The following is a 27,537-nucleotide window of genomic DNA, read 5'->3' as shown; positions in this document are numbered from 1 at the left end:
CAGAAAAAGATACAACAACAAAGGAGAAGGGCTCAAAGTGAAAGATAAACACCTTTGATGGTAACAGGCATGAAATGATTAAAAAGGATTTTGCAGCCGTATGATTCTACAGAAATACATTCTCAAATTCCATGGTTCTGTAAACTAACATTCAGCTCTCATCTAGTAACCAGCAGATTGCCTGGCATGGAATGAGATGCTTCATCAATATTTGTGGAGGGACTGAATCATTTATTTGCACTCACGTGTGTTGACAACAGGGGCAAAAGGTCATTAATGTTCATACTGGCATTCACAGGATTTACATCAAAAGTCTAACATTTCATCATTAATGAGGCACATGTGCATATATATACACACATGTGTATGCACAAATGCAAATATAGGTTTGCATATCCCTCTAGCACTGTAAAGACAGATTTCTCTATGGGTTATACAACAAACAAACATGCTTTTATGCACATAAAAATATTAATCATTATTTTAGATGCCTTATATGTATATATTTTCATATATAATTACTAACATTAGCTAATCTTGAAATATTCTTGAAAATGAAGGAAAAACGCACTCTTCATGAAATAATTAGAAAAACTTGTGAGGAAATACCTAGCAATCTGGCTAAGAATGATGTATTATGAAGGTAATATTAAGAAAAGCAATGAAGAGACTCATGAATATTGTTTCAGATCATAGGTGGATTACAAAAATGTGATAATGTGTTCCTTACATATATTTATAACTAGTCCTCAGTAAGCACTAATGTTTAAATGTCTGTTTAAGTATAGTAAGCACTTTCTAGGCTATCTGCTGCACTGGGTTACATAAAAATAAACAGGTTCATACACAAAGATACTCTTCCAAGATACTCAGCAATTCATAACATTATAACATTCTGTCAAAAATGTGTATTTATATTAAAATGGTTTTAAATATAAGCAGACAGAAGAATGATTCTCTCTATTCCATCAAAGGGACATATTCACCATCATAAATTTAAGATACGGTATTTACATAATTCTAAAGCTTTGGGAAAAGAATGCATTATTTGTAACACTTACAGTGCATTAAATACTGCCAAGCAGCAGGGTAAGGGATAATTCCTAAGCATTGAGGCAGCAGATAAAGTAGAGCTGTACAAAGATGAGATTCAACATAATACTGAATAACATTTTAAACTTTCTGGACCTTGGTACCTCCATTTAAATAAAAAACAAACATATCTTGGAAATACAAATGTGTTAAGGTTACAAAATATAAATTATTACAAGTTAAGGTTACTGACATCCTGAAAACTTCCAACTCTGCCACCTTCTAGCTATGTGACCTAGCAAGTTATTCAGCCTCTCTGTGCTCAGCTTCTTCATCTGAAAATGGGGTTAATGATGGGAACTGGGTTGCTGTGAACATTAAAGGAGATAATGTTTACAAAGCAAGTGCATGAGCTTCACACATACCAAGCAATCATTACAAGCTTTAATTGTAGTATAAAACTCAAAATTAATTTCAAAATAGCCAGGCACGATACATATAAATGTCCTAACCAAGGCCTTTAATCTATAAGCCCATTTTCATAAAATAAAGCACATGCTGGGAAGAGAGTCAAAATTTATTTAACGAGAATGACTCATGGAAAATATACAATTCCTGCTCACCAATAACATTTGTAAGTTCTTCCCCGGATGATAATTATTTGAACAGCAGATAGAAAAACATTACAGACAGCTATTATTTGCCACCAACTAATCTGTTTTTCCCTTTCCTATATAAGTCTTGCTTTCACTGGCATGTTCGCCTTCTCCTACTCTTTGTGTAAACGCATTTCTGTATTGTGATGATTAGCCTCCCCACCAGCAGGCACTTTCAGGAAAGGTCTTAGGATCTCATTCCCACAGTCTTCCCACTCCCAAACAAACCAGAGACTCAACACAGAAACCAGACAGTTTGGCACGTAAGGGTGGCTGTGCCCACTGGGGTTGTCTGTCACATCCACTCACTACTGTCCCATCCCAGGAGAAAAGTGAGAAATATTTTAAAAAGTGCAAAGCAAATACTCACTTCTGGGTCTAAACCCGTATTTTTGGAAGTACTGACAATTTTAGGCTTCTAAAGATACACCTAAGACTTGATGCTAAGTCTCATCCTCCCGAATCCAAGTCTCAAATACGAAAGGTAGAAAGTTTACTAGCTGTAACCTCTGTATTATGGTCAAAATGGACTGTATACTACAGGTGGCTGGCCTCGTTTTCAGTTTCTAGGCAACACAAGAGAAAGCATTTTAGCTTCAGACCAGATGCCCTAGACTTGTTGCTATTCTTTCTACCCAAGCTACTGGCAAAGTGCCGAGACAGGGCCTAGAGGAAAGCGACGGAGTAACAGGGAGTTTCCGATTTCATTAGTAACCTTTGGGGCCCCACACTCTCCCAGAGGTCTCCCGATCCCAGTATCTAATACAGGCACTGGCTGTGACTCACTCAATGTGCCCTTCAGTTTTTCCTCACAGCATGAACCTTGGCAAAAGGAGTATCTCACAGCCTCTGCGCCTTCCCTTAGGATCAAGCTCCCCTATCACCAATAAGTTGCACTGTCCACCAACTCTTCCTCTCACCCTGTTTCTGCTGCCATAGGATAAGTCTGGCTTAGAGTCGGGAGACTAGGCTCCAAACCCCAGCTTTGCCTAGTTGTGTGACCTGTGACAGGTTTATCCTACCTTGTTCTGGCCTCTGATACCACATGTGCAACTGAGCCTATTAATATATATCTGCTCAGCTACCGAGTTTTATGGAGACTGTGTGAGAGAGTGTGATATACTCCAAAAACATAAAATGCAATACGTTAAAATTTTTAATATATTGTCATATGCAGATTCTGTATTGACATCTTGCCTGCTATGAAGAGACCTCACGAGGTGTTGCAGCAATCCTCAGCAAAGACAGTGCATCTCTCTTGGGCCAAGGATGCACCTTCAGAATCCATGAAGCAGTTGTTATGGAAAAAAGGCAGGTCTAACTTTAGAATGGCTTAATCCTGAATCTAGATGAACACTTTCAGTGGGTGATACTTAAATCTTCCCTCCCAACTTCCCTTTCCTACAGTACTCTCAAACTTTTAAACTTTGTTATTTAACAGCTTGTCTTCTGTTTTTCTTTCCTTCATCTCTCCAACATCCTCAAAAAAAGGTCAGACTATAGTGTCTCCATCTCCTCATGCTCACTGTGGTTAAGAGCGTGGGTATTTAAAACACAGTCTTGGAAGCAAGTTGTAGTATACTGCTCTCTACCTCTGAGACTTAGACAAATCAAATCACGTTTCTTCACTTCAGGGGCTCATGCGAATGGGGATAATACCACCTGTCTCACATGGTTCTTATGAGAAAATAACACCTAAGAAAAAAACAAGTACAACCTCGCTATTATCTAGTTTGACTTTCCAGCCACTAAACCCAATGGTTGTTTCTTGTTCCTCCACCAACCTGACCTTTCTAGAGTATTTGGCACAGCTGACTTCTTCCTTCTTGGAATCTCCCCTCTTATGGATTCCCTTACAACCATCCTTCTTCCTTCGCCTCCTATCCCTCTGTCTTATGTCTCCATTATTCTTCTTCCTCTCATCATCAAAATAGAAGCATTCACAAAGATTCTGTCCTTTTCTCCACTATCATCTTGACTTAGACACTCAAAACCTTACCTCTTTAAAAATAATTCCTGCCATCTCTCCTCTTGCTTTCATTCTATTTCTTATAACATGCCACTTGCATTCAGAATATCTAAAACCAGTCTCTATCCCTCCCAAACCTACTGCTCATCTTGCATTCTGCCTTGGCTAAAGGTCTCATCCACCTGGTCTGGGAGGCTTAGAGTTCGTTTTCACTTTCCTCTCTCCCTGACTTCCAATATCCAGCAGGTCATCAAATTCTGTTTGTCTGCGAAGTCTCTCTTCCTATCCATCCCTTCTTTCCACTGCAAATATTCTAGTTTAAACCTCCATCATTTCTTATCTGAATTACTCCCCAAATTCAAGCAACCGCCCTGCCTTCCATCTTACCCCCATTCTATTCCCACCAATTCTATTCTCTGTCAAAGATCTCAAGACACACTCCCATCCAAATCTGTCAATAGCTCACCACAGCCTACAGAAAGAGTTAAGGCAGACAATGCAGCACAGCACCTGGGATCTGCCACCCTCTGGATACAACTGCTCACAAACATCTCCCCACATCATACCACCCACTCACCACTACCAACACCACCCCAGCATGGTGGAAGCACCCTCTGTTCCAATATCTACCCTCTGGAGCAAAGAGCAGGGTTGCTTGCAGCCTTAGCAAATAGAGATGGTGTCTCCTAGAGCAAAAGGCTTCCTTGCTGGCCATTATAAAAGATCTGAGTTTTCTGCATTCAGAGTTTTTCCTCCTATAACACAACCAACTGTATCATCCATAAGTATCACCTGGCCATCTTTGCAGTGCCCTGAGGAATCAGGGCTCAGGGAATGAGCACAAAATGCACTGCTCTAGCTACTGACAGTAATAAACTGTCCTGTGTCAAAGATCCAGGAGTCTTGTGTCTTCTACTAGTATCCGTGGAACTATGCAGGATAACTGGTTAACATGAAAGTAGAGTAAAATCTCTGTCTTGAATTTAGATTGAAGCTCATCTTTAAGAACAGGAACCATATTTCTAGTATTTTTTCCTCTAATACCTTCCCTGTAAGAAATACCCCAAAATTACAACTAAAATCCATCTAACATGTGTGTGCCCAGGCATAGGTAAGTATTAAAGTAAGCTGGAAAGGATGGGACAGCTAAATAAATTTTCAAGCTCATCACTCATGTAGCTCAGGTTTAAGTACTAGCAAAATTTTACTACAATAAATCAAAAAGAGACTCAAACTCAAGGCAAAAGTGGGCCGTTGCTTTTTGCAAGATTCCTTTTCATTCCTCTGCTGCAGAGATGGGAAACATCAGAAAAGGCCTAATGTTGTGTCTCGCTGCTGCCCTCTGCCTCTCCACCTCAGAGCAGCTGTAGCAGCAGGTACTAAATCCCAGGAGGAAGAATGCCTGCTTTTGGTTTTCAGGGTGTTTTGTGGTGTTTGTTTGGCTTCTGAGGAAAAGCTTGAGATAATCTGAAAACCGTGGTGTTCTTCCTGAGCCTCTGGCTATTTTACTGCTCAGGATATCTTAATGCTCAAATGTCCACAAATCACTGAAGAGGAAGAGGTTAAAAGCCAAACCAGTTAATTTTGCTGTTTGTTCTAAGAGCCATATAAAATTAACAGATAAAGTGAATTTGGGTGATTTATTTCCCAATGTAAATTGCTATTTTAAAAAAAAAAAAATAGAAAGTTCTTCAATCTCCTAGAGCCTTAAATCAATAATGAGACTACTTAATTATAATTGGCCTCAATGACTGGATTTATCTCTAAATAAGCAACTCACACTTACTGGCTATTCAACAGGTGCCAATGTCCTAAGCATTCTCTTTTAGTTCTCACAACAACCCCATGAAGGAGATCTGATCCTTATCCCTTTTCACAGATGATAAAGACACAGAGAGGTTACAGGCAGAGTTAATAAGGAGTAAAACTGAGATTACAATCAAGATAGTCTTTTGGGCTAATGTTCTTCACCACTATGCTAACAGTGTACCATAAAATGTCACAGACCTCATCAGAATGTAATGCAAAAACAAAGCCTAGCATGCCTACTCTGTAGCAAGACAGTTCCACCAAGTTTCTTCTGTTCTAAAAACACCTTCAGCACTACTTGAAAATATACCATTGTCATTTTCTGACAACTACCCAACCTCCAACCCCAAATACACCCAGAAGCAAGATGATTTATTGTAAGGATAGAATAAAGTCCTATTAATTTTCTTCATTTCTATTCTGTGGATGCGTTAAAGAGGAGGAAAACGTATAAAACCATAGGTAACAAAGAGAAAAGAAGGTTTAATTCATGGGCTGAAAAAAAACAGTCACTGGACAACAGGAAAGTAGTAACAGTCCTAAACCAAACCCTAAACCACATGGACGAGGGGTAAAGGCAAGGACTCGGGGTTCGCCGTCTCAGAGGAAGGATGTGCCCCTATTAATTTAATGTGACCATTCATTTGGAAACAAATAGTTTCTCAGAGTTTCCTTAAAACAAATAAGATTACTAATTGTGAAAATGAATATTCAGTCCTGATGTGCCTGGATTTATTATTTCAATTTTGCATTTGCATTTCTGCAGACACCACAAGACTCTTCAACTCCCTCCCACAGAAGACTGTCCTCTATTTCCACCCACGCTCACCTCACACCCATTTTGATTAAAACAGAGACAGAGAGAAACTCTAGTTTACTTGCTGTAAATTTTCTGAGGACAGCTGTTCTTTATTTTCTTCATTGCCCTTGGCAATTTAAAATTAATGCGCAATTGGTAAAATATGTTTCAGGTTCACTCTGGACATCTTCCTTTCCATACCCCTGAAGATTAATACTGAAATTATACATTGTAATCTTCTACCAGAGCCCATCTTGAGAACCCCATACAATTCTAAAGTGCTCTGGAGGCAAAGCAATCTTCAAGCGGTAAGGTTTTCCAAAAATCTAAAACTTTGCTTTGCAAAGGAAGATAAATTTGCTTTTACATGCAACAAATGAAAGATTGTCAAATCTTGTATGTGGCTTCCTACTTCTATCCCATGAATTCACAGCTTGTTACAATGCTGAATTTGATAACTGACAGCTTGCCTAGATCGACATTTTAATGCCATACTCTAGAAAATTAAAGTGAATATTCAAATTATCCACATATGGAAGATTTTTTAAGAGAAACTTCATAAACAAAAGTGGCATCCAAATTTAGTTTTAAATGGTAATGACTATTTTAAAAATAGCAACTAAAAGATGTTTTTAAGCAAAAGAGTGTTACTTTGTTTTTGCATATCATACAGTACATGCACCTAGGTGTCATGCAGGCCCAGAAAGAGACAATGCACTGCTCATGGGGGGCGGCTCATTTGTACTTACTCAAAGAAATGATGTAATTACACTCCAATCTCTGAAACTATAAGACTCTTTCACACATAACATGATGTACTTTTCTACGTCTAATATATTACCCACAGTTCAGAAAGATGCTGACATAAATTCATAAAGGAATGAAAAACAATCCTACATGTTATGTGAAAGTACCAATTCCAACCACATATAAATTCTTCCAATAACTTTAGAAATTGTTGAGACACACAATATTACCAATATGGAATTTTAGTCAAATCTGAATACTGAAGCAAAAAGCAAATGCTTACTGAGTGCTTACTATGTGTGCAAGGCATGCCTGTATTTAGAAATGAGAAGAGGCAAGCAAAGGATAAATAAGACATTTTCTCTGAGTAAACAGTAAAGTTCCAGAAACAAAGTAAACATAGGAAATATAACTTAAAATACCAGGCAATATAACTGCCAAATGAGGCACATGCACATTTCAAGATTAAAACAAATCAGGAGAAGGATGAAGAAGGAAATGAAGATAGGCATTTAATGAATATCTACTATGTGCAAAGACTCACTCTTTAATCCTCACAAAGCTGGGTGGGAGGTAGTATGAATAAAATTTTTTTTTTTTTTTTTTTTTGAGACGGAGTCTCGCTCTGTCGCCCAGGCTGGAGTGCAGTGGCGGGATCTCGGCTCACTGCAAGCTCCGCCTCCCGGGTTCACGCCATTCTCCTGCCTCAGCCTCCCAAGTAGCTAGGACTACAGGCGCCCGCCACTACGCCCGGCTATTTTTTGTAGTTTTAGTAGAGACGGGGTTTCACCGTTTTAGCCGGGATGGTCTCGATCTCCTGACCTCGTGATCCGCCCGCCTCGGCCTCCCAAAGTGCTGGGATTACAGGCGTGAGCCACCGCGCCCGGCCAACTTTTTTTTTTTTTTAAAGGAACTAAGGGTCTGAGAGGTTAAGAATCCTTCCAAATGCTTATCTTATTGCACCACTTTGGAACTTAACCCTGATAGGTCCTTATCACTCAAAGGCAAGGCAACCCTTCAGCAGAGTAATCTGAGTGCCTGCCTCCCTCCCTCCCTTCACTCTCCATTCCTACCACTCCTCCTAACTTGCCTGATGGCCCTCGGGTCCCAAATGTATCACACTGTTTCCATCATCTACCCTTTGACCCTCGTTCACCCCTCTGCCAAAATTCCTTCCTTCTGACACCCCACATCCTTGCAAACCTGGACAATTCCTCTTGCCCTGCAGAACTCAGCTCAAGAGTGAGAGATGTCGGAGGTGCAGGAGGTGCAGGAGGGGCAGGGGAGAAGGCCAAGCCCATTATCTTTTTCCAGAGATGTGGGCAGAGCAGATGACTCCATCATGAGAGAGCTACAAATCATGGTGGCTGCACAGTAATGTTAGTAATGTTGGTTTTCAGCAAGACCAAGACAGTGGAGGAAAGGTGGTGTAAAGCTACTTGAGAATAAGGGGAATGTTTTCCCACATAGGAATAAACGACTACAGGGGCACCAGAAGCCAGATGTCACACAGAGACGGCAGGTGGGAGGGACTGGAGGTAAAACGGTGGGATGAGTGAACAGGAGCTGCCATGAACACTTCTGAGTCTGTCTGGGATTCACCTAAAACACATTTGAAATTGTAACTGCTTTTGGCTTCTGACACAATGAAACATGACTACATTTAGCCATTTTGTTATTTCTTCCCTCAACCTCACATTTTAGGATAGAAGTTCTGCCTTACATCCACATGCTCTCTGTCATTATCCCAAATGCTATATGGCACCATGACCCAGAGCCTTCATAAACCCTACTCTCTCAGGAAAGCCCCTGGGGCATCTTCTGTCCCCGAAAGGCAGAAGATCAGAAAATTCTTCTCTCCACCTGACTATTCCTATTGGATCTCTCATCGTCTAAAGCAGAGAGACCCAATCGTCAACAATTCTGATTCAACAGATGTAGACTGAGACCAGTTATCTGAATTTCCAAGAAGCACCCCTAGTGCTCCTGATATACGTTATGAGATCATGGACCTCTCAATTTCCTTGACATCCTTCATTACCCAAACTAACACTTCAAGGTAAAATTCCTTGCAGAATTCCTATCCTCTATATACAACCAACTGCTAAATGTGACTGGTACAACTTCAGCAAAATCATTCGGCTGTATCTGCACTATCTACCCCACTGCCAAACCTATTATCCAGAATCAGTTACCTCGCTTATAAATACTGCATCCTAAGCAGAACCCTGGGGCATCCCATGCATGACTACCAATATTAGTTTTCATATTTACTTTTTGAATGCCTGTTTCTTTGCTACGTATCACCTTCTAGTATTCACCCAGTTCCTTTACAATCAAATGCATAAGCCTGATTGCCTGCTTTTACTGTTTCTCCATGTTTCCTTCACAACCAAGTTTGTCTTTTCTCAGTCACCCTTTCTCTGTATCTTTGCTGAGTTTCCTCTAAACGCCAAAATATACTTTCCCATCCTTTAAATCTGAGGAAGCCTACTCCTAAAGACAGTCCTCAATTAACATCACATGCTTCCCAATCCTTCAACATGCACTCATATTCTCTTAATCGGTGCAAATTTGCAACATTTTGATCATCTGGTACACTTCAATTACTTACAAATCTTTTGTTTTGTCAGCCACTAATAAATCAAGGATTGTATGTAACCAACGTTGAACACGTATCCCAGAGGCCTAGAGCATGACTATGCATGTCCTGTGATGCTAATAAATACTGGTTAACTGACTGGCTTCTGATTAGAACTAGGGTTTAGCTACGATAAGTCTTCTGCTATTGAGGGAACAAAAAGAACGTTCTGCTATTTTCTTTGGGACTTTGATGATTTGTTTGGATTTAGGTTGCAGGGATTTTGGGTTTTTTGTTTTTGTTTCCAGAGTCTCACTCTTGTCCCCAGGCTGGAGTGCAGTGGCGCAATCCGCTCATTGCAAGCTCCACCTCCCGGGTTCACACCATTCTCCTGCCTCAGCCTCCCAAGCAGCTGGGATTACAGGCACCCGCCACCATGCCCAGCTAATTTTTGTATTTTTGGTAGAGCCAGGGTTTCACTATCTTGGCCAGGCTGGTCTCAAACTCCTGACCTCAGGTGATCCACCCACCTCGACCTCCCAAAGTGCTGGGATTACAGGCATGAGCCACTGTGCCCAGCGAGGTTATGTTGTTTTTTAAAAGACGTTCAGAGAAAAGCTCCCCATGAAGCAGGACACTATCAACATGAAGATAACAATGGTGTATCCCACTTCTCCAGCACACAAGCAACTCTCCCATTAGGACAGTGGTCTCCCAAACTTTGCTACATATTAGAATCATCTGCGGAAATTTAAAGAATCCTACTTCCCAGTCCACATCCAATAGCAATTAAGTCAGGCTGACAGGGTATGAGAGCCTGGCATCAACATTTTTAAGGCCAGGTACAGTGGCTCATGCCTGTAATCCCAGCACTTTGAGAGGCAGAGGAGGGTAGATACTTAAGGTCAGGAGTTCAAGACCAGCCTCGCCAACATGGTGAAACACCACCTCTACTAAAAATACAAAAAAATTAGCTGGGTATTGTGGCACACGCCTGTAATCCCAGCTACTCAGGAGGCTGAGGTAGAAGAATCACTTGAACCCGGGAGGCGGAGACGGAGGCTGCACTGAGCCAAGATCATGCCACTGCACTCTAGTCTGGGCAACAGAGAGGGACTGCATCTCCACAAAAAAAAAAGAAAAAAAAATTGTTTTTAAAAGATCCCAGGTAATTTCAATGTGCAGCAAAGTTTGGGAACAACTGCTTTAGGAAGTCTTTTAGCTCAGTGTAAAAAAGCAGTCACTTCCTAGTGGTAGAGCCGGTATGTATTATTAGCAAATATTTGGTAAACGGATGAAAGACGAGTTGATGTGACTCCCACACATGCCAAAACATCATGAGCAAACTACTCTATGGAAAAGTATGGTTTGTTAATTTATGCTGATACTGTAGCAAAATGGAGTTTTTTCTTATCTCAAAACTAGAATAATTTATAAGTAACTGCCAGTCCTACCAAAATATATTAATATCCATAGGTCATATATTTATTATTTGTTATTTAAGATATGTTATACACTAAAAATGTCATCTTAAGAGTACTGAGAACGATAGTACAGTTTAGACATTTGTCTGAAGCCTTGCAAATACTGCAATAATATCACAAATAAAGTTTTTAATAAAAACGTCAAATGTCATTTTCAAAAGAACATGTTAAGAAAGAGGTAAGGAGAACTGAGCCACCTTCGGAAGCAATTGGAGGCCAGAAGAGAATTTAGTAGAAGAGGAAAAATGAGTCCAATCTTATGTAATTTCTAATTCTTAGTTTTCTACAAAAGGTAAGTATGAGAGAGTAAGGTCCCAATAATTGAATAGTTAATAGAGCAAGTGTTGTGTGAGGCCAGCTCAATGCCAGGCACAACGTGTGTCCTCAGAGATGCTTGGTCCTCTGCTCTAGGAGCTACAGACAGAACTAGATTCTCAGTACCCATGTGAGAGACATGACATATTCTTTCTTTTCTCACTCAATCATAGCTTGGGCTACTCCCAGTGATAGTGAATTAAATTTCCCCAACTGGCTTACTCAACCTCACAGCTGCCGTGATAGGTCTGTGCCCCAGGTAGGCTGGACAGCTAGGGAGATGAAGGGCCCCTAAGTCCAGACCAGGGATGGCCAACAGAAAGACAATGTGACCCACCTATGCAATTATACATTTTCCAGTAGTCATACTAAATAAAGTAAAAGGAACCAAGTCAAAATGATTTCAATTGGCAAAATGTGTTATCATTTTTCGATATGGGTTTACACTGATCATAAAAACATTATTCAAAGATCTTAATGAGGGCTGGGTGCAGTGGCTCACACCTGTAATCACAGCACTTTGGGAGGCCGAGGCAGGTGGATCACGAGGTCAGGAGATCAAGACCATCCTGGCTAACACGGTGAAACCCTGTCTCTACTAAAAATACAAAAAATTAGCCAGGCTTCGTGGCGGGCACCTGTAGTCCCAGCTACTCAGGAGGCTGAGGCAGGAGAATGGTGTGAACCCAGGAGACAGAGCTTGCAGTGAGCCGAGATCAAGCCACTGCACTCCAGCCTAGGCCACAGAGCAAGACTCTGTCTCAAAAAAAAAAAAAAAAAAAATCTTAATGAGAGTTTAAATTATTTTTCTTATTCAGCCTCCAAAATCCAGTGTATTTAAATAAATGTATCTCATTTTATATATACATATGTTGTAGAAGCAGTAAGATTATAAAAATATCTTGGTTTTGATACCGTAACCAAACAAAACCAAACAAAATACAGGCTCTCCTAAGGCTGCCTGATTGCAGGTGAACAGTTTTATGATTTTTTTACAATAAACTTCTAAGTGGGTATCTTCATCATCTTATTCATCATTTTGAATAAAGGACTGGTTTAATAAATGCGACTTTAAGACCTCTGAGTAAATGTGATAAATTAATCAAAATGAGATTTTATTTTCATGATCAAAAACTACATGAAATTAGCTCCATTCATAAAAATTAATTTCAAAGTCAAATATTTCATTTCAAAAGTTTTAGTCATAATCCTATTCTTCTATCAACATCTATAAAATATACAACCTAATCTAGAATAAGATAATATTTTGTCCATACTACTTTCTGAAACTCTTAAGTTAAAATGATCTCCTTTGTTTATGCTAATCTGTCTATGGCTTCAGAAAAAAACTAACTTATGGCAGAATTAAATCAAAATCTGATTGAATTAAGGAGGATTAGTAGAATGTGAACACAGTGGGAAGGGACCCTCTATATACAAGCCTCTTGTAAGTGGAGCTCACTTCACAATCGAGCTGTCAGTGGAAGCAGCTGGAGGACACAGGCGACCCTAGTGGAGGAGACAAGTGGCTATGACAGAACAATTTAGAGATGTACATGTGTTGTCTGTTTATCGTATCTTGAAAAACCCATGTCCCTAAATTGTGGCTCTGTCTGCTGCCTTCAATACATTAGCTCAATTTTCAAGGAACCTGATGGGGGAGGTTCATTGTGGCTCTTCTGCTCTGTGGTCACTCTGAAGAATGCCATCAGGCCCAATTACCAGCTGGGGAAGACAGTTTCCAAATAAAGGAAGTAGAGCCCCAGCTGAGAGCTATCCTACTCCTGAATCAAAGGATGCTGATGTTCCAAGTGCATGCGATCTTTGATGGTGACACAGGAACAATCAATTTCTAATTTTTGATGACCAGAGTTATGTTTGTTGGAGACATTTCTAAAAGAATCACAGAGAATACGCTGAGAGATTCAAACACATAATCTGTATCCTGGCTCCCCTCAGTTCACCTCTGGCCACCATTACTGGGAGGCAGATGTAGGGGCAAGCAAAGAATGGGATCTGGGAGTTTGCTAACAATCTGTTAATTATACTAACAAGGGGCAATTCCACTGTCTTCAGAACTTGGCTTCCAGGCTCTAGGTTTGCGAAAAGAGCTCCTCTCAGGCAGTACACTGTGCCTTTACCCTCTAGATATGCCCCCGCAGCTATACCATGTAGAAATTTTCCTGGATGTGGACTTTTGGAATCACTTCCTTTTATAACATCAGCGATGGACCCCGTATCTTTACCATTCACTGAAGTTTCTGCTACAGAGCCACAGAAATTGCTCCTGTGAATGCAATTAATGATGTTCAGGCTTCCTGAGTATTTGTCCTGTGAATAATCTGGGCACTGCCAGTTCTCCAGTTTATTCTGAGCCAAGGCAAATAAACTTTTGGCCACAAAAACAATTAGAGAAAAATTACTTCGTGCTCAAAGCTAAAAACTTTTTCCGGTTGGTGCAACCCATGGGACAAAGTTACAAGAGGAAAATATGGAACATTTCATAAGTCATACACATACTGAATAGATAGCTTAAGAAAAATGCCATAAAATAGTAAGTATTGTCACAGTAGTCTTTTGAGTTTATGTTTATGTTCCAATAAATATGTTCTAAGCAGTCAGATCAAAAACAGAAAGACATGAAATGAAAAGGTAAGAAAAAGGCTAATGGCTTTAACCGAACCATATGAAATACTAGTTTTTAGATAATCATATTTAGAACATGGAAACGGTGATTAGAAGTAATTCTTCAATTAGATCTCATTAAATGCTTCTGGTCATCAGTCACATAGACTCAAGAAGTGTACAATAGTTATTAATGCTATTTACCAACTATTTCCATCTCTTTACCTGTTTTCCAAGCTCACTGTAGCCTCGACCCCTGGGATCCAGTGATCCTCCCGCCTCAGCCTCCTGAGTAGCTGTCACTACAAGCAAACACTATAACACTCAGCTAATTTTTTTAAAAAAATTTTTATACAGACAGGGTCATGCTATGTTGCCCAGACTGGTCTTGAACTCTTGGGCTCAAGCAATCCTCCCACCTCAACCTCCCAAAGTGCTGGGATTATAGGTGTGAGCCAGTGCCCCCAGCTGTCCTCATCATTTTCAATAATAAGTTCTGTTGATTCTTTTAAACTCTTATTTTTAGTCTATTACTCCACTGAAAGCAAAAGTTTCAGTAATGGAAGACCTTTGGGGGGAAAAATATTCAAAAAGAAAAATATATGCTTTTTGTCTCTTATTTTTAAATGAGAAAAGCTAACATAAAATGTGTAGACCTATTCAACATCTATATACTTATAAAAACATATTCAATGCCTCCAGATTCCAATATATATTTATGCCATTCAATGTATGTAACACTCCATAAAACTACACATACCAATCAGAAAGCCTTCTAGATAGATCTGCATCTATTCAGGCAGAAATAAGTATGTATAAAACATGCCCTTTTGGGAAAGAATTTATCCAAATTAATAAGCATGCAAATGACACAAAGTTCTACTTAAGAAACTCAGAAAAAAAGAAACATGAGTGTCAAGTGAAAGATACTAAAATTGCAGGGATTTTTTCTGAAATTCTTTCGAGGTACCAGGATAAGAAACAAATTGCCAGCTCAGCTTCAGTGCAGATTGAAATGAATGAAAACCTGCCAGTGTGAATTGCCACTGTAAGAGAATGTGGGAAGAATGGCTTTCTGTGGCATACGTTGTTGTTATTGATGGGCAAATCCCCAAATCATACAACAGCTCCTACTCCGCCGATATCCTACACACTAGTTTCATAGGTGGCAGTCCTGTCTTTATAACAAAGACCTTGTTTGGAGAGAGAATGTGAAGGCAGTACTTCACCCCACTAAGGCATCCAAAGTCGGACTGGAATACAGAATATATGAGAGTGAATTAAATATTCCATTTATACATACTTCACTAGATCGCTAAACAAAGAGAATGTCAACCTCCAGAAATAGCCTGTTTTGCAATGTTTAATATTTAGTATCTCCAAAGTCTGCTGGAATGGCTGCATAGCAAAAGGGCCCAATTTTTGCTTAGAGACTTAAAAAAAAATGTTTTGGGTTATTGGTCAGCGGAGGAATTAGTTTTCCCTAAATTTAAAACAGAAACACAAACAACCCAAATATTTATCAATAGGTGAATGGATAAACAAATTGTGGTCTATATCCATATAATGGAATACTACCAGGCAATAAACAGAAATTTACAGAGCTAAGTATCCACCCAACCGATGAATCTCAAAAGCATTACACAGACAAAGCCAGAGTCAAAAGACTATGAACTGCATGATTCCATTTGTACAAAAATGCTGAAGATGTTAAAAAAAAAAAGGGGGGGGGGGGAGCGCAGAACATGCGTAATTAAAAAATAGCTCAGGGACAAGCATGGTGGCTCATGTCTATAATTCCAGTATTTTGGGAGGCCCAGGCAGGAGGATCACTTGAGCCCAGGAATTTGAGGCTGCAGTGAGCTATGGCTCCACCACCACACTCCAGCCTGGGTGACAGAGTGAGGCCCTATCTTAAAAAAATAAAAATAAAAATAAAAATGCAACGCAGCAAATACAGGAAAGGAGGAAGGTAGGTGCCAGAAAAGAACTCAGTGAGGGAAACAGAAATTTTCTGTGTATGTAATAAAGTATCACAATTGTGTATGTTTTCAATTCAAAACTCTTCCATTTGTACAGCTGAAATCAGTGAATTGTACTGACTGCAAATTATACCTCAATAAAGCGGATTTCTTTTTTTGAGATGCAATCTCGCTCTATCACCCAGGCTGGAGTGCAGTGACACGATCTCGGCTCACTGCAACCTCTGCCTCCCAGGTTCAACTGATTCTCCTGCCTCAGCCTCCCGAGTAGCCGCGATTATAGATGCATGCACCACACCCAGCTAATTTTTGTATTTTTAGTAGAGATGGGGTTTCACCATGTTCGCCAGGATGGTCTCGAACTCCCAGCCTCAGGTGATCTGCCCACCGCAGCCTCCCAAAGTGCTGGGATTACCAGCGTGAGCCACCACGTCTGGCAAGCTGATTTTTTTAAACAGGGACCCACACAACAATGGAGGGTGGAGAGTATCTTCAGAGTGCTTCAACCAAAAGTGATTACGATGAGTTGTACATCACTGCTGATTCTTCTAAGGATTCTTATGGGCTGAACTGTATCCCCCTAAAATTCTTATGTAGAAGCCCTAAACACCAGTTTCTCAGAATGTGACTGTATTTAGAGATGGGAGCTTTAAAGAGGCCTTTAGGGTGGGCCCTAATCTAATAGGCCCTTATAAGAAGAAACTTCGACATGTAAAAGAGACACCAGGGACATGGGTGCAAAGGAAAAAAGGCATTCTAAGGACAAAGCGGGAAGGGGGCCACCTGCAAGCCAAGTGGGGAGGCCTCAGAAGAAACCTTGAATTTGACACCTTGATTTTGAACTTCCAGCCTCCAGAACCACGAGAAAATAAATTTCTATTCTTTAAGCCACCCAATCTGTGGTATCTTGCTATGGCAGATCTAACAGACTAAGACAATTCTCATTTCAACACTGACCTCATGTTTTCATATAGGAAAGAAATATGTAAATAAAAAGGAAAATCCCTCATTGTCATAGTAAATGAATAACTGATCCTTCTGATACTCAGAATGAGCATTTGTGTTAACACGTTTCATTCTGTAACACTTAAAAGCAAGAAGTATTTTTAATGACTTTTAGATTTTACATACCTATAGCCTCTCATGAATGAAATGATTCAATCATATTACCTCGTGTTTCAACGGCACTGATGCATTTTCTGATAATTGTGAACCCCATCTTATCCAACTGTGCATCTACAAGAAACAGTTTAAAACATTAAGTGTACAATTATTATTTATCACATTTCTCTTCCTTTTAAAAATAGGAAAAATTATTTAAATCCAAACTAATTTTTAGATTACTATTAAAAAGCTAAAGGCAGATAGGCACATTGGCTCACACCTGTAATCCCACCACTTTGGGAGGCCCAGGGAGAATGATCACTTGAGTCTGGGAGTTCCTGACTTGCCTGGGGAACATGGTGAGGCCCCACCTCTACTGAAGATGTTTTTAAATTAGCCAGGTTTAATGATGGGTGCCTGTAGTCCCAGCTGCTCAGGAGGCTGAAGAAGGATAGCTTGAGCCCAGCAGGTAGAGGCTGCAGTGAGTTATGATCATACCACTGCACTGGGTGACAGAGCAATACCCTGTCTCCCCAAAAAAAAAAAAAAAAAAAAAAAAAGCTTAAGGCTATGTATTTCCTATTTAAATAATATACACAGGAATTTTATATATATATATATATATATATATATATATATATATATATATATATATATTTGTTTGTTTGTTTGTTTTTTGTTTTTGTTTTGAGAGGGAGTCTTACTCTGTCACCCAAGCTAGAGTGCAACCTCTACCTCCTGGGTTCAAGCGATTCTTCCACCTCAGCCTCCCAGGTAGCTGCCATTACAGGTGCCCGCCACCAAGCCCAGCTAATTTTTTCTATTTTTAGTAGAGATGGGGTTTCACCATGTTGGCCAGGCTGGTCTTGAATTCCTGACCTCAGGTGATCTGACCACTTTGGCATCCCAAAGTGCTGGGATTACAGGTGTGAGCCACTGTGCCTGGAAGGAATTTCATATATTTAGAGCACTTGCTGGAATATCAGAATCTCTATTTACCAATAGTATACATATTTGTAATGTAAAATAATTTTAAAATTAATAACTACAATTCATTTTAAAAGTCAAAAAGAAAGTGATACAAATCTCTAAGGGAAGCTATCTAGACACAGTTAAGATATATTTTGCCAAAAATTCCAACAGCAGCTCAGTTAAAGAAAACTATACACACACACACACACACACACACACACACACACACACACACACACGTGAATGTTCTTAAATTACTTGAGAATCTAAGAACACAATCCTTTAAAAAAAAAAAACCTAGGAGGAAAAATTTTAAGAAAAGCTTTTTAAAAATATTTGGGCAATAAGCTTGAATTAAAATTTTGATATTTTACACCATGCTCCAAGCTTTTAAAATAATATTTTATTATTTTCATAATAAATTTAAAACAGATGATTCATATGGCAGAGCAAACTATTTTGGAAATATAATTTTTATACTTTTTCTAATATAGATGCTTATCTATGATTAGGCTGGCATATCTGTATATCCTTAATGAATGACAATTCTTGTTTCAAAAATTAAGTTAAGAGGCCAGGCGCGGTGGCTCACGCCTGTAATCCCAGCACTTTGGGAGGCCAAGGTGGGCGGATCACGAAGTCAGGAGATCAAGACCATCCTGGCTAACACGGTGAAACCCCGTCTCTACTAAAAATACAATAAATTAGCCGGGCGTGATGGTGGGCACCTGTAGTCCCAGTTACTCGGGAGGTTGAGACAGGAAAACGGAGTGAACCCGGGAGGCGGAGCTTGCAGGGAGCTGAAATTGCGCCCCTGCACTGCAGCCTGGGCGACAGAGCAAGACTCTGTCTCCAACAACAACGACAACAACAAAAATTAAGTTAAGTACCCTTAGCCACTGCATTTAGAACCTAGGGAACAGTAACACTAATCCTTGGCTCTCAGAAGGGTTACAAGAACAATCCATGAATATAAACTTCATACATAACCCATAGTGCTAAGCTTGAAGAGAATTTTAATGAATTGGGCAGTGGTTTTCTGCTCAAGAATTCACTATTCACAAAGCTTTATAAAATGGAAGTATTTATTTCTGCTTAGCAAAACCGTGTTTTCTAAAAAAGACATGTTTTAACGTCTCTGCAATAAGAAGGGAAAAAGAGAAAAGAAGGAAAGAGAAAGGGGAGAGGAGGGAATGAGGAAAGGGAAAGAAAAGGGAGGAAGAGGAGGAGGGAGGAAGGAAGAAAAGGTGTCAGAAGAAGAAAAGAACAAAGGAGAGAGGGAGAAGGGAAGAAGGAAGAGGGGTAAGAAGGTGCCTCAGGGGATGTGCTGCTTGTGGCATCCTGTCCATCACCAGTGCCAGGCTACAAGAGTTGTGTTTTATTCAAACACTGGCTCAAGTGATCACAATTATATTGGAATCCTATGTTACATAACCACAGTGTTTACAAACTGTGGACATTTGATAAATGTAGCTTAATTTTTCCAAATATGTCAAAAGTAAATTCATCAGGAACCCAGCAGATCTGATCACGTTTTTATGTAAGTTAAAAAAAAAAATCAAGGGTACAGAGCTGGGCATGTTTCATTTTCTTCAAGTACAGCAGTGGCATGTGAAGATCGTTGTCCTTGAATATTTGAATAAATTTAATTGTTGTTGCTATTGTCCAAGGTGCACTGATAAACTATCTGTATAGCCTGTAGTCAAACACTACAAAGATAAAGCATATCAAGGCTAGGAAACAGGGCCTCGATATAAACAGCTCTTACCCACAGGAGTTAACTCAGACAAGAAGTTGAAGGTTGCATACTTGAAACTCTTATGTGATTGTTAATAAACATTAAAGTAAATGTAGAGAAAGTATTTTGTACAATTTTTTTTTTTTTGAGAAAGACTCACAAAAAAGCCCATAGGCCAGGCAAGGTGACTCACGCCTGTAATCTCAGCACTTTGGAAGGCAGAGGTAGGAGGATCACTTGACCCCAGGAGTTTGAGACCAGCCTGGACAACATAGCAAGATCCCATCTCAACAACAACAAAAAAATTAAAAATAAAAACAATTGGCCAGGTATGGTGGTACATGCCTGTAGTCCCAGCTACTCAGGAGACTGAAGTGGGAGGATCACTTGAGCCCAGGAGGTTGAAGCTGCAGGGATCCAAGACCATGCCACTGCACTGCAGCCTGGGCAACAGAGCAAGACTTTGTATCAAAAAAAAAGAAAAGAAAAGCCCACAGATGGGAAAGATCAACAAGGGCTACAGTAGTCCAAGAAATGTTGAGGAGGTCCCCGTTGAGTAAAACAGAACACATGCAATAGAGGATTATTACGTGTAATACCCCTCTGTCTAATAGAGGGTGCAGAGAGTAAGCTCCCAGCAACAGCTTGACATGCATAATGTACACAAAGTAATAGATGGAAAAGGAGGATACAATCATTTTTATAAATGAGCACTTACTTCCTTCTGGTCTTGGGATGATGGCTGTATTAAAACTATGGGACAGCTAATAAAAGAGAATGGAAAAACAGAATTTTTTAATCAAATCAGCAAAAATTATTCAAGTAGGCACACTGAGGACCATACAAAAAAAAATACATTTTTATAAGCTTGATTCTGGTTAATGTGATAGAATAAGAAATTGGTCTGCATCCCCACTTCCTGACACAGAGCATCTAAACTCTTGGGATTTCCTGAGTAATAAGAACATCTTTTGTTATTCATAACAAGATCCTTTTGGTCACATGTGAGTTTATGCTAATGAGGTGACTTCTTATAGAGCCCCTGGATAGGCCATCTCAGGATGGGGCTGAATACCACAAAGACCCACTGATATTTCTTTCAGCCCTACCCACCAATCTCTTCAGCAGTGAGCTGGCAATTGAGTTCTGAAACAACAAGCTCTGATAAGCTTCCGTGTTGGTGAACATGAGGAAGTGCTGGGAGGCTGGTGTACCCACTGAGGGCATGGGGGCTCCGTGCACCCACCTCAACCTCACTTCAGACTTTATCCTATGCATCTCTTCCACTGGGCCCTTGCAGAGTTGTAACTTTTATAATGTACTACTAAATATAAGTATTTCTCTCAGTTCTGTGAGCTAATCTGGCAAATTATTAAACTGATGAGGGGTTCACAGGAACCCCCAATTTATAGCCAGTTAGCCAGAAGTATGGGAGGGTCCAGACTTGTGATGGGCACCTGAACTCAGGCAGTCTTGTGGGAGTGAGCTCTAAACATGTGGGATCCAACACTAACTTCAGGCAGATAGTGCGCTGTGTTTTCTCAGTTAATAACACACTATCATATGCTCAGATGCAAAGATAAATAACAAAAAGGAACATCTCTGAGACTACTTTTTCTCTCCCTGAGGTATACCAAATGAGCAAAAATAAGATAAAGGGGGCAGGGTCCTTAAAAGGGACTTATTGAAAATTTGTGTATACTTGAAATACTCAGCCGTACAGCTATGGAGTGATAAGGAAACTGCTGTATTCTAACCATTAAGATGGAGCTCATGTTTTCACCAATATTTCAAAAAATCAGTATTTACCTAAAGAGATAACTCCTGCCCATAATTTAAGTAAGTACAGCAGAAATAGCACGGTGATAATTCTAGGCAACCTTTAAGAACTGTAAGGCTGGCAAATTATTTGCAAGGCTTACAACACCCACCAAAAATATGCAGTCCCTTCAGTGTCCCCATATAAATACATAGCTGAATATTGTTTTTCTGCAGACTTGCCTTTGTCTGTGTATCTCTGAACTAATCACTTGGCTCCTGACTCTAAAAGAGAGGTTATATACGTCTTGAAGGTTACACTGACATTGCCAACAGACTCATTTTTCAATGACTTAGTCTTTTCGCTACGCAAACTGACTTTCCAAAGTACCATTATTTTTTTTCTGTATTTTAATGGATGCAAATCCAATATACTTCCTGCATCTCTGGGGCGATACATTCCAGTGAGTGTGCTGTCTTTACTAAAGAAGACTAGTATAACCTGTTTTGGAGTCTCAGTAACCATAAACACTGTAAATACTCTTGATTCACAGCTAAAAATTTCAACAACAAATTAAGAATAAATAGAAATAAGGCTGGGTGTGGTGGCTCATGCCTGTAATCCCAGCACTTTGGGAGGCCAAGGTGGGTGGATCGTTTGAGGTCAGGAGTTCAAGAACAACCTGGCCAACATGGTGAAACCCTGTCTCTACTAAAAATTACAAAAATTAGCTGGGCATGGTGACACACACCTGTAATCCCAGCTACTTGGGAGGCTGAAGCAGGAGAATCACTTAAACCCAGGAGGCAGAGGTTGCAGTGAGCCAAGGTCACGCCACTGCACTGCAGACTGGGCAACAGAGTGAGATTCCATCGATCAATCAATAGAAGTAAAACTACAGAGGCTAAATGCATCCCAAATATGGTAAGACGACACCCAAATCTGACCAAGGATGCTTTGTTTTTGGCGGGGGTGGTGTAAGAGTGATACATTCCCCAATATAGCATCAATTTTTATACTATGTTAATTTAGGTTTTCATTTTCCAAGTACTTCAAGATTGCCACATGCGCTACTGATCAGCCTCCTTGCTCTCTTTTCCTATACACTCACCAATGCGCTCTCTGTTACCACAAGATAACATTAGCTTTTGCCCATTTCATAAGCTCTATTCTGAAACCTGTTTCTGCTCTACATGATCCCTCCTCTACTTTCAAACCATTCTCTTTTTTTTTCCCTCAACAATGCTGAACTGGCAAATGCTTTCCAGATAAGCCTGCCTGGCACCTGCAATGGCAGTTTATTTAGAGTCATACATAATACTTTAAGTAGAGTTTATTTAAATTGGTTCTGTGGCGTTTTCTACAATTATCCTCACTAAATCCCCAATACATGATCTGCCACATTCTCAACTCTCAAAAGCCACTAGTCCATCAAAATGAAAGTAGTGTTTCAATAGTGGCCAACAGACTGAATCTTGGTGCCTCTGGATCTATACCACTACCTTCAATTTATTCCTCAAAGCACTCTGAATACCGAGGCCCATCCACTAAGGCTACATAATACTGCATACTGTAAACTACTAGATGAAACTTTAAATTGTTACATCAAGCAAAACAATTACAGCAGTCACCTATAATATTGCCTGCACTATCTCACATTTCCTGTTCCATCTCCACTGAGATCAAAATGCATTGCAGGCATTTATTGTGTTCATCATCCAAAGTACTGTCAAGTAGGAAAGATGAAATTGAGAATTTAGATGACCTCCTCAAGCAAAGCAAATCAGAGTGGCAAGTCAAGAAAATACAGAAATAAAAACTAATGATACACTAGTCTTATATGTACTGCTGCTTGCCCAACCCAAATTACTAGAATGTTGAATGCTTCCACGATGATTTTTGGAATACCTGTTATAGAAGGGAACTTTTCTCAAATACTACACAAAAATAACATAAAAATGAATGCAAGTCAACTCTAAAGGCTTTGAAATAAAACTCAACCATTGATTATTCTTACAGCTTCCTTTCCACCCAGAGCTTCCAACCACTGCTTCCTTTCCTCTTCGGAAAATGCCTGCATGGTCAAGGAAACGCCAGGCCTGAAAGACACCAGTAACATATCAGGTTACCCCTTGGCCACTAAAAGGCAAGTTTTTCCTAAGATTTAACTGTTGTAACCATTTTTTTTTTACTTTTATCTGTGGTAAAATACATGTAACCTAAAATTTATCATCTTAACGATTTTTAAGTGTAGAGTTCAATGGCATTAAATATGTTCACAATGTTACATAACCATCACCACCATCCATTAACAGAACTTTTTTCATCTTGCAAAACTGAAACTCTGTACCTGTTGAACAATAACTTTCAATTGCTACATAAAAGCCTAATATTCCATTGTGTGTGTATATACCACATTTTTCTTATCCATTCACAATATCCGCAGACACTTGGGTTGCTTCCACCTTTTTGCCTGTTGTGAACAGTGCTGCTATGAACATGGATGTACAAATACCTGTTTAGGCCCCTGCTTTCAATTCTTTCAGGTATATATCAAGAAATGGAATTAATGGTTCATATGGAATATACATATGAATATACAAATGGCAGAGGAGCGTTAAGAAAAGATGCACCTTCAGCAAAGTCTCAGGATACAAAATCAATGTACAAAAATCACAAGCATTCTTATACACAAATAATAGACAAAGAGAGCCAAATCATGAGTGAATTCCCATTCACAATTGCTTCAAAGAGAATAAAATACCTAGAAATCCAACTTACAAGGAACGTGAAGGACCTCTTCAAGGAGAACTACAAACCACTGCTCAATGAAAGAAAAGAGAATACAAACAAATGGAAGAACATTCCATGCTCATGGATAGGAAGAATCAATATCGTGAAAATGGCCATACTGCCCAAGGTAATTTATAGATTCAATGCCATCCCCATCAAGCTACCAATGACTTTCTTCACAGAACTGGAAAAAACTACTTTAAAGCTCATATGGAACCAAAAAAGAGCCCACATCGCCAAGTCAATCCTAAGCCAAAAGAACAAAGCTGGAGGCATCACGCTACCTGACTTCAAACTATACTACAAGGCTACAGTAACCAAAACAGCATGGTACTGGTACCAAAACAGAGATATAGATCAATGGAACAGAACAGAGCCCTCAGAAATAACGCCGCATATCTACAACTATCTGATCTTTGACAAACCTGAGAAAAACAAGCAATGGGGAAAGGATTCCCTATTTAATAAATGGTGCTGTGAAAACTGGCTGGCCATATGTAGAAAGCTGAAACTGGATCCCTTCCTTACACCTTATACAAAAATTAATTCAAGATGGATTAAAGACTTAAATGTTAGACCTAAAACCATAAAAACCCTAGAAGAAAACCTAGGCATTACCATTCAGGACATAGGCATGGGCAAGGACTTCATGTCTAAAACACCAAAAGCAATGGCAACAAAAGCCAAAATTGACAAATGGGATCTAATTAAACTGAAGAGCTTCTGCACAGCAAAAGAAACTACCATCAGAGTGATCAGGCAACCTACAAAATGGGAGAAAATTTTCGCAACCTACTCATCTGACAAAGAGCTAATATCCAGAATCTACAATGAACTCAAATAAATTTACAAGAAAAAAACAAACAACCCCATCAAAAAGTGGGCAAAGGATATGAACAGACACTTCTCAAAAGAAGACATTTATGCAGCCAAAAAACACATGAAAAAATGCTCACCATCACTGGCCATCAGAGAAATGCAAATCAAATCCACAATGAGATACCATCTCACACCAGTTAGAATGGCGATCATTAAAAAGTCAGGAAACAACAGATGCTGGAGAGGATGTGGAGAAATAGGAACACTTTTACACTGTTGGTGGGACTGTAAACTAGTTCAACCATTGTGGAAGTCAGTGTGGCGATTCCTCAGGGATCTAGAACTAGAAATACTATTTGACCCAGCAATCCCATTACTGGGTATATACCCAAAGGACTATAAATCATGTTGCTATAAAGACACATGCACACGTATGTTTATTGTGGCACTATTCACAATAGCAAAGACTTGGAACCAACCCAAATGTCCAACAACGATAGACTGGATTAAGAAAAGGTGGCACATATACATCATGGAATACTATGCAGCCATAAAAAATGATGAGCTCATGTCCTTGTAGGGACATGGATGAAATTGGAAATCATCATTATCAGTAAACTATCACAAGGACAAAAAACCAAACACTGCATGTTCTCACTCATAGGTGGGAACTGAACAATGAGAACACATGGACACAGGAAGGGGAACATCATACTCTGGGGATTGTTGTGGGGTGGGGGGACGGGGGAGGGATAGCATTAGGAGATATACCTAATGCTAAATGACGAGTTAATGGATGCAGCACACCAGCATGGCACGTGTATACATATGTAACTAACCTGCACATTGTGCACATGTACCCTAAAACTTAAAGTATAATAATAATAAAATAAAGAAAGAAAGAAAGAAAAGATGCACCCTATCAGATGTCATCAAGGCAATGCAAATTAAAATGAAATACAACACACTCACTAGAACAGCCAAAACCCAAAACACTGACAACACCAAATGTTGAAGAGGATGTGGAGCAACAGGAACTCTTATTCATTGCTGGTGGCAATGCAAAATGGTACACTTTCAAAGTCTGGTTGTTTCTTACAAAAGTAAAAACATTTTTACTGTAGGACACAGCAATCACATTCCTTGGCAGTTACCTAAAGGAACTGAAAACTATGTCTACACAAGAACCTGCACATGGATGTTTATTCACAACTACCAAATTATGTTTGACTCACAACCACCAAAACTTTGAAGCAGCCAAGATGTCCTCAGAAGGTGAATGAATAAACTGTAGTACATCCTGACAATGGAGTATTATTCGGTGCTAAAAAGAAATGAGCTACTGAGCCATGAGAAGACATGGAGGGAGCTTAAATGTATGCTACTCAGTGAAAGAAGCCTATCTGAAAAGTCTACACACTGTGTGATTCAAGTAGATGACACTCTGGAAAAGGTCAAACTACAGAGACAGTAAAAAGATCACTGGTTGCCAGGGACTGGAGGGAAAGGGATGAACAGGTGGAGCACAAGATTTTTAGGGCAGTGAAATCTTCTGTATGATACTAGAATGATGGATACATTCAGTACACATTTGGGCAAACCCATAAAATGTACAATCCAAGAGTGAGCCCTAATGTAAACTATGAATTTTGGGTGATTATGATATGTCAAGGTAGGTTCCACAGTTCTAACAAATGCAGCATTCTGGTGGGGGTGTTGATAATGGGGAATGCTATGCATGTGTGGGAGTTGGGGGGAATCAGGAAAATCTCTATCTTCCTCTTCTGACTGTGAACTGAAAACTATTCTTTAAAAAGTAGTCTCTCAGAAAAGTTTTTTTTGAATGCAGAGTTGTCCCCTAAGCTGAGAAGGTGCATAGAAGACCAAAAGCACACTCTGGAGGAGCTAAGATCAGCCTCCTCACTGGCGCCATGAGCCTGCTGGAGAGTGGCACAACAGAAAGCTGTGGAGGCAGACTGGGGTCCAGCCACACAGGGCCTCCCTGGCCATGTGGGATGGTTTGGCTCTGGGTCCCCACCCAAATCTCATGTAGCATTTACAATTCCCAAAGTTGGAGAAGGGGCCTGGTGGGAGGTGACTTGATCATAGGGGTAGACTTCCCCCTTCTTGCTTTTGCTTCCATGAGAGTTCTCACAGGATCTGGTTTTTGGAAAGTATATAGCCTGCCCCACACACCCCCGCCCTCCCCTCCCACTTCTCTCTCTCTTCCCCCTGATCTGGCCATGTAAGACATACTGGCTTCCCCTTTGCCTTCTGCCATGATTATAAGTTTCCTGAGGCCTCCCCACCCATGCCTCCTGTTCCTGTACAGCCTACAAAACTAAGTCAATTA

The 27,537-nt window shown here is 39.9% G+C and overlaps 1 protein-coding gene and 1 pseudogene across 6 annotated transcripts in view; one reads left to right on the top strand and one right to left on the bottom strand.

Moving 5' to 3' along the window:
* The window catches only part of ARHGAP10 (Rho GTPase activating protein 10), a 340,689-nt gene that overhangs the window by 142,468 nt on the left and 170,684 nt on the right, over nt 1-27,537 (bottom strand). For all 6 annotated transcript variants that reach the window (XR_001741324.2, NM_024605.4, XM_005263215.4 and 3 more), the window contains 3 exons: nt 23,590-23,671; nt 20,532-20,577; nt 17,170-17,235 (listed from right to left, as the gene is read on the bottom strand). Coding sequence is in view for 5 of the 6 variants with exons in the window: in NM_024605.4 (NP_078881.3) it covers nt 17,170-17,235; nt 20,532-20,577; nt 23,590-23,671 (194 nt within the window). In the remaining variant the exon portion in view is untranslated. The remainder of the gene's footprint in view (nt 1-17,169; nt 17,236-20,531; nt 20,578-23,589; nt 23,672-27,537) is intronic.
* On the top strand, nt 12,945-13,773 carry RFPL4AP4 (ret finger protein like 4A pseudogene 4; annotated as a pseudogene).

This window comes from Homo sapiens, chromosome 4 (assembly GCF_000001405.40).
Source record: "Homo sapiens chromosome 4, GRCh38.p14 Primary Assembly".
NCBI lineage: Eukaryota > Metazoa > Chordata > Mammalia > Primates > Hominidae > Homo > Homo sapiens.
This window is presented reverse-complemented; position numbering and strand designations above follow the sequence as displayed.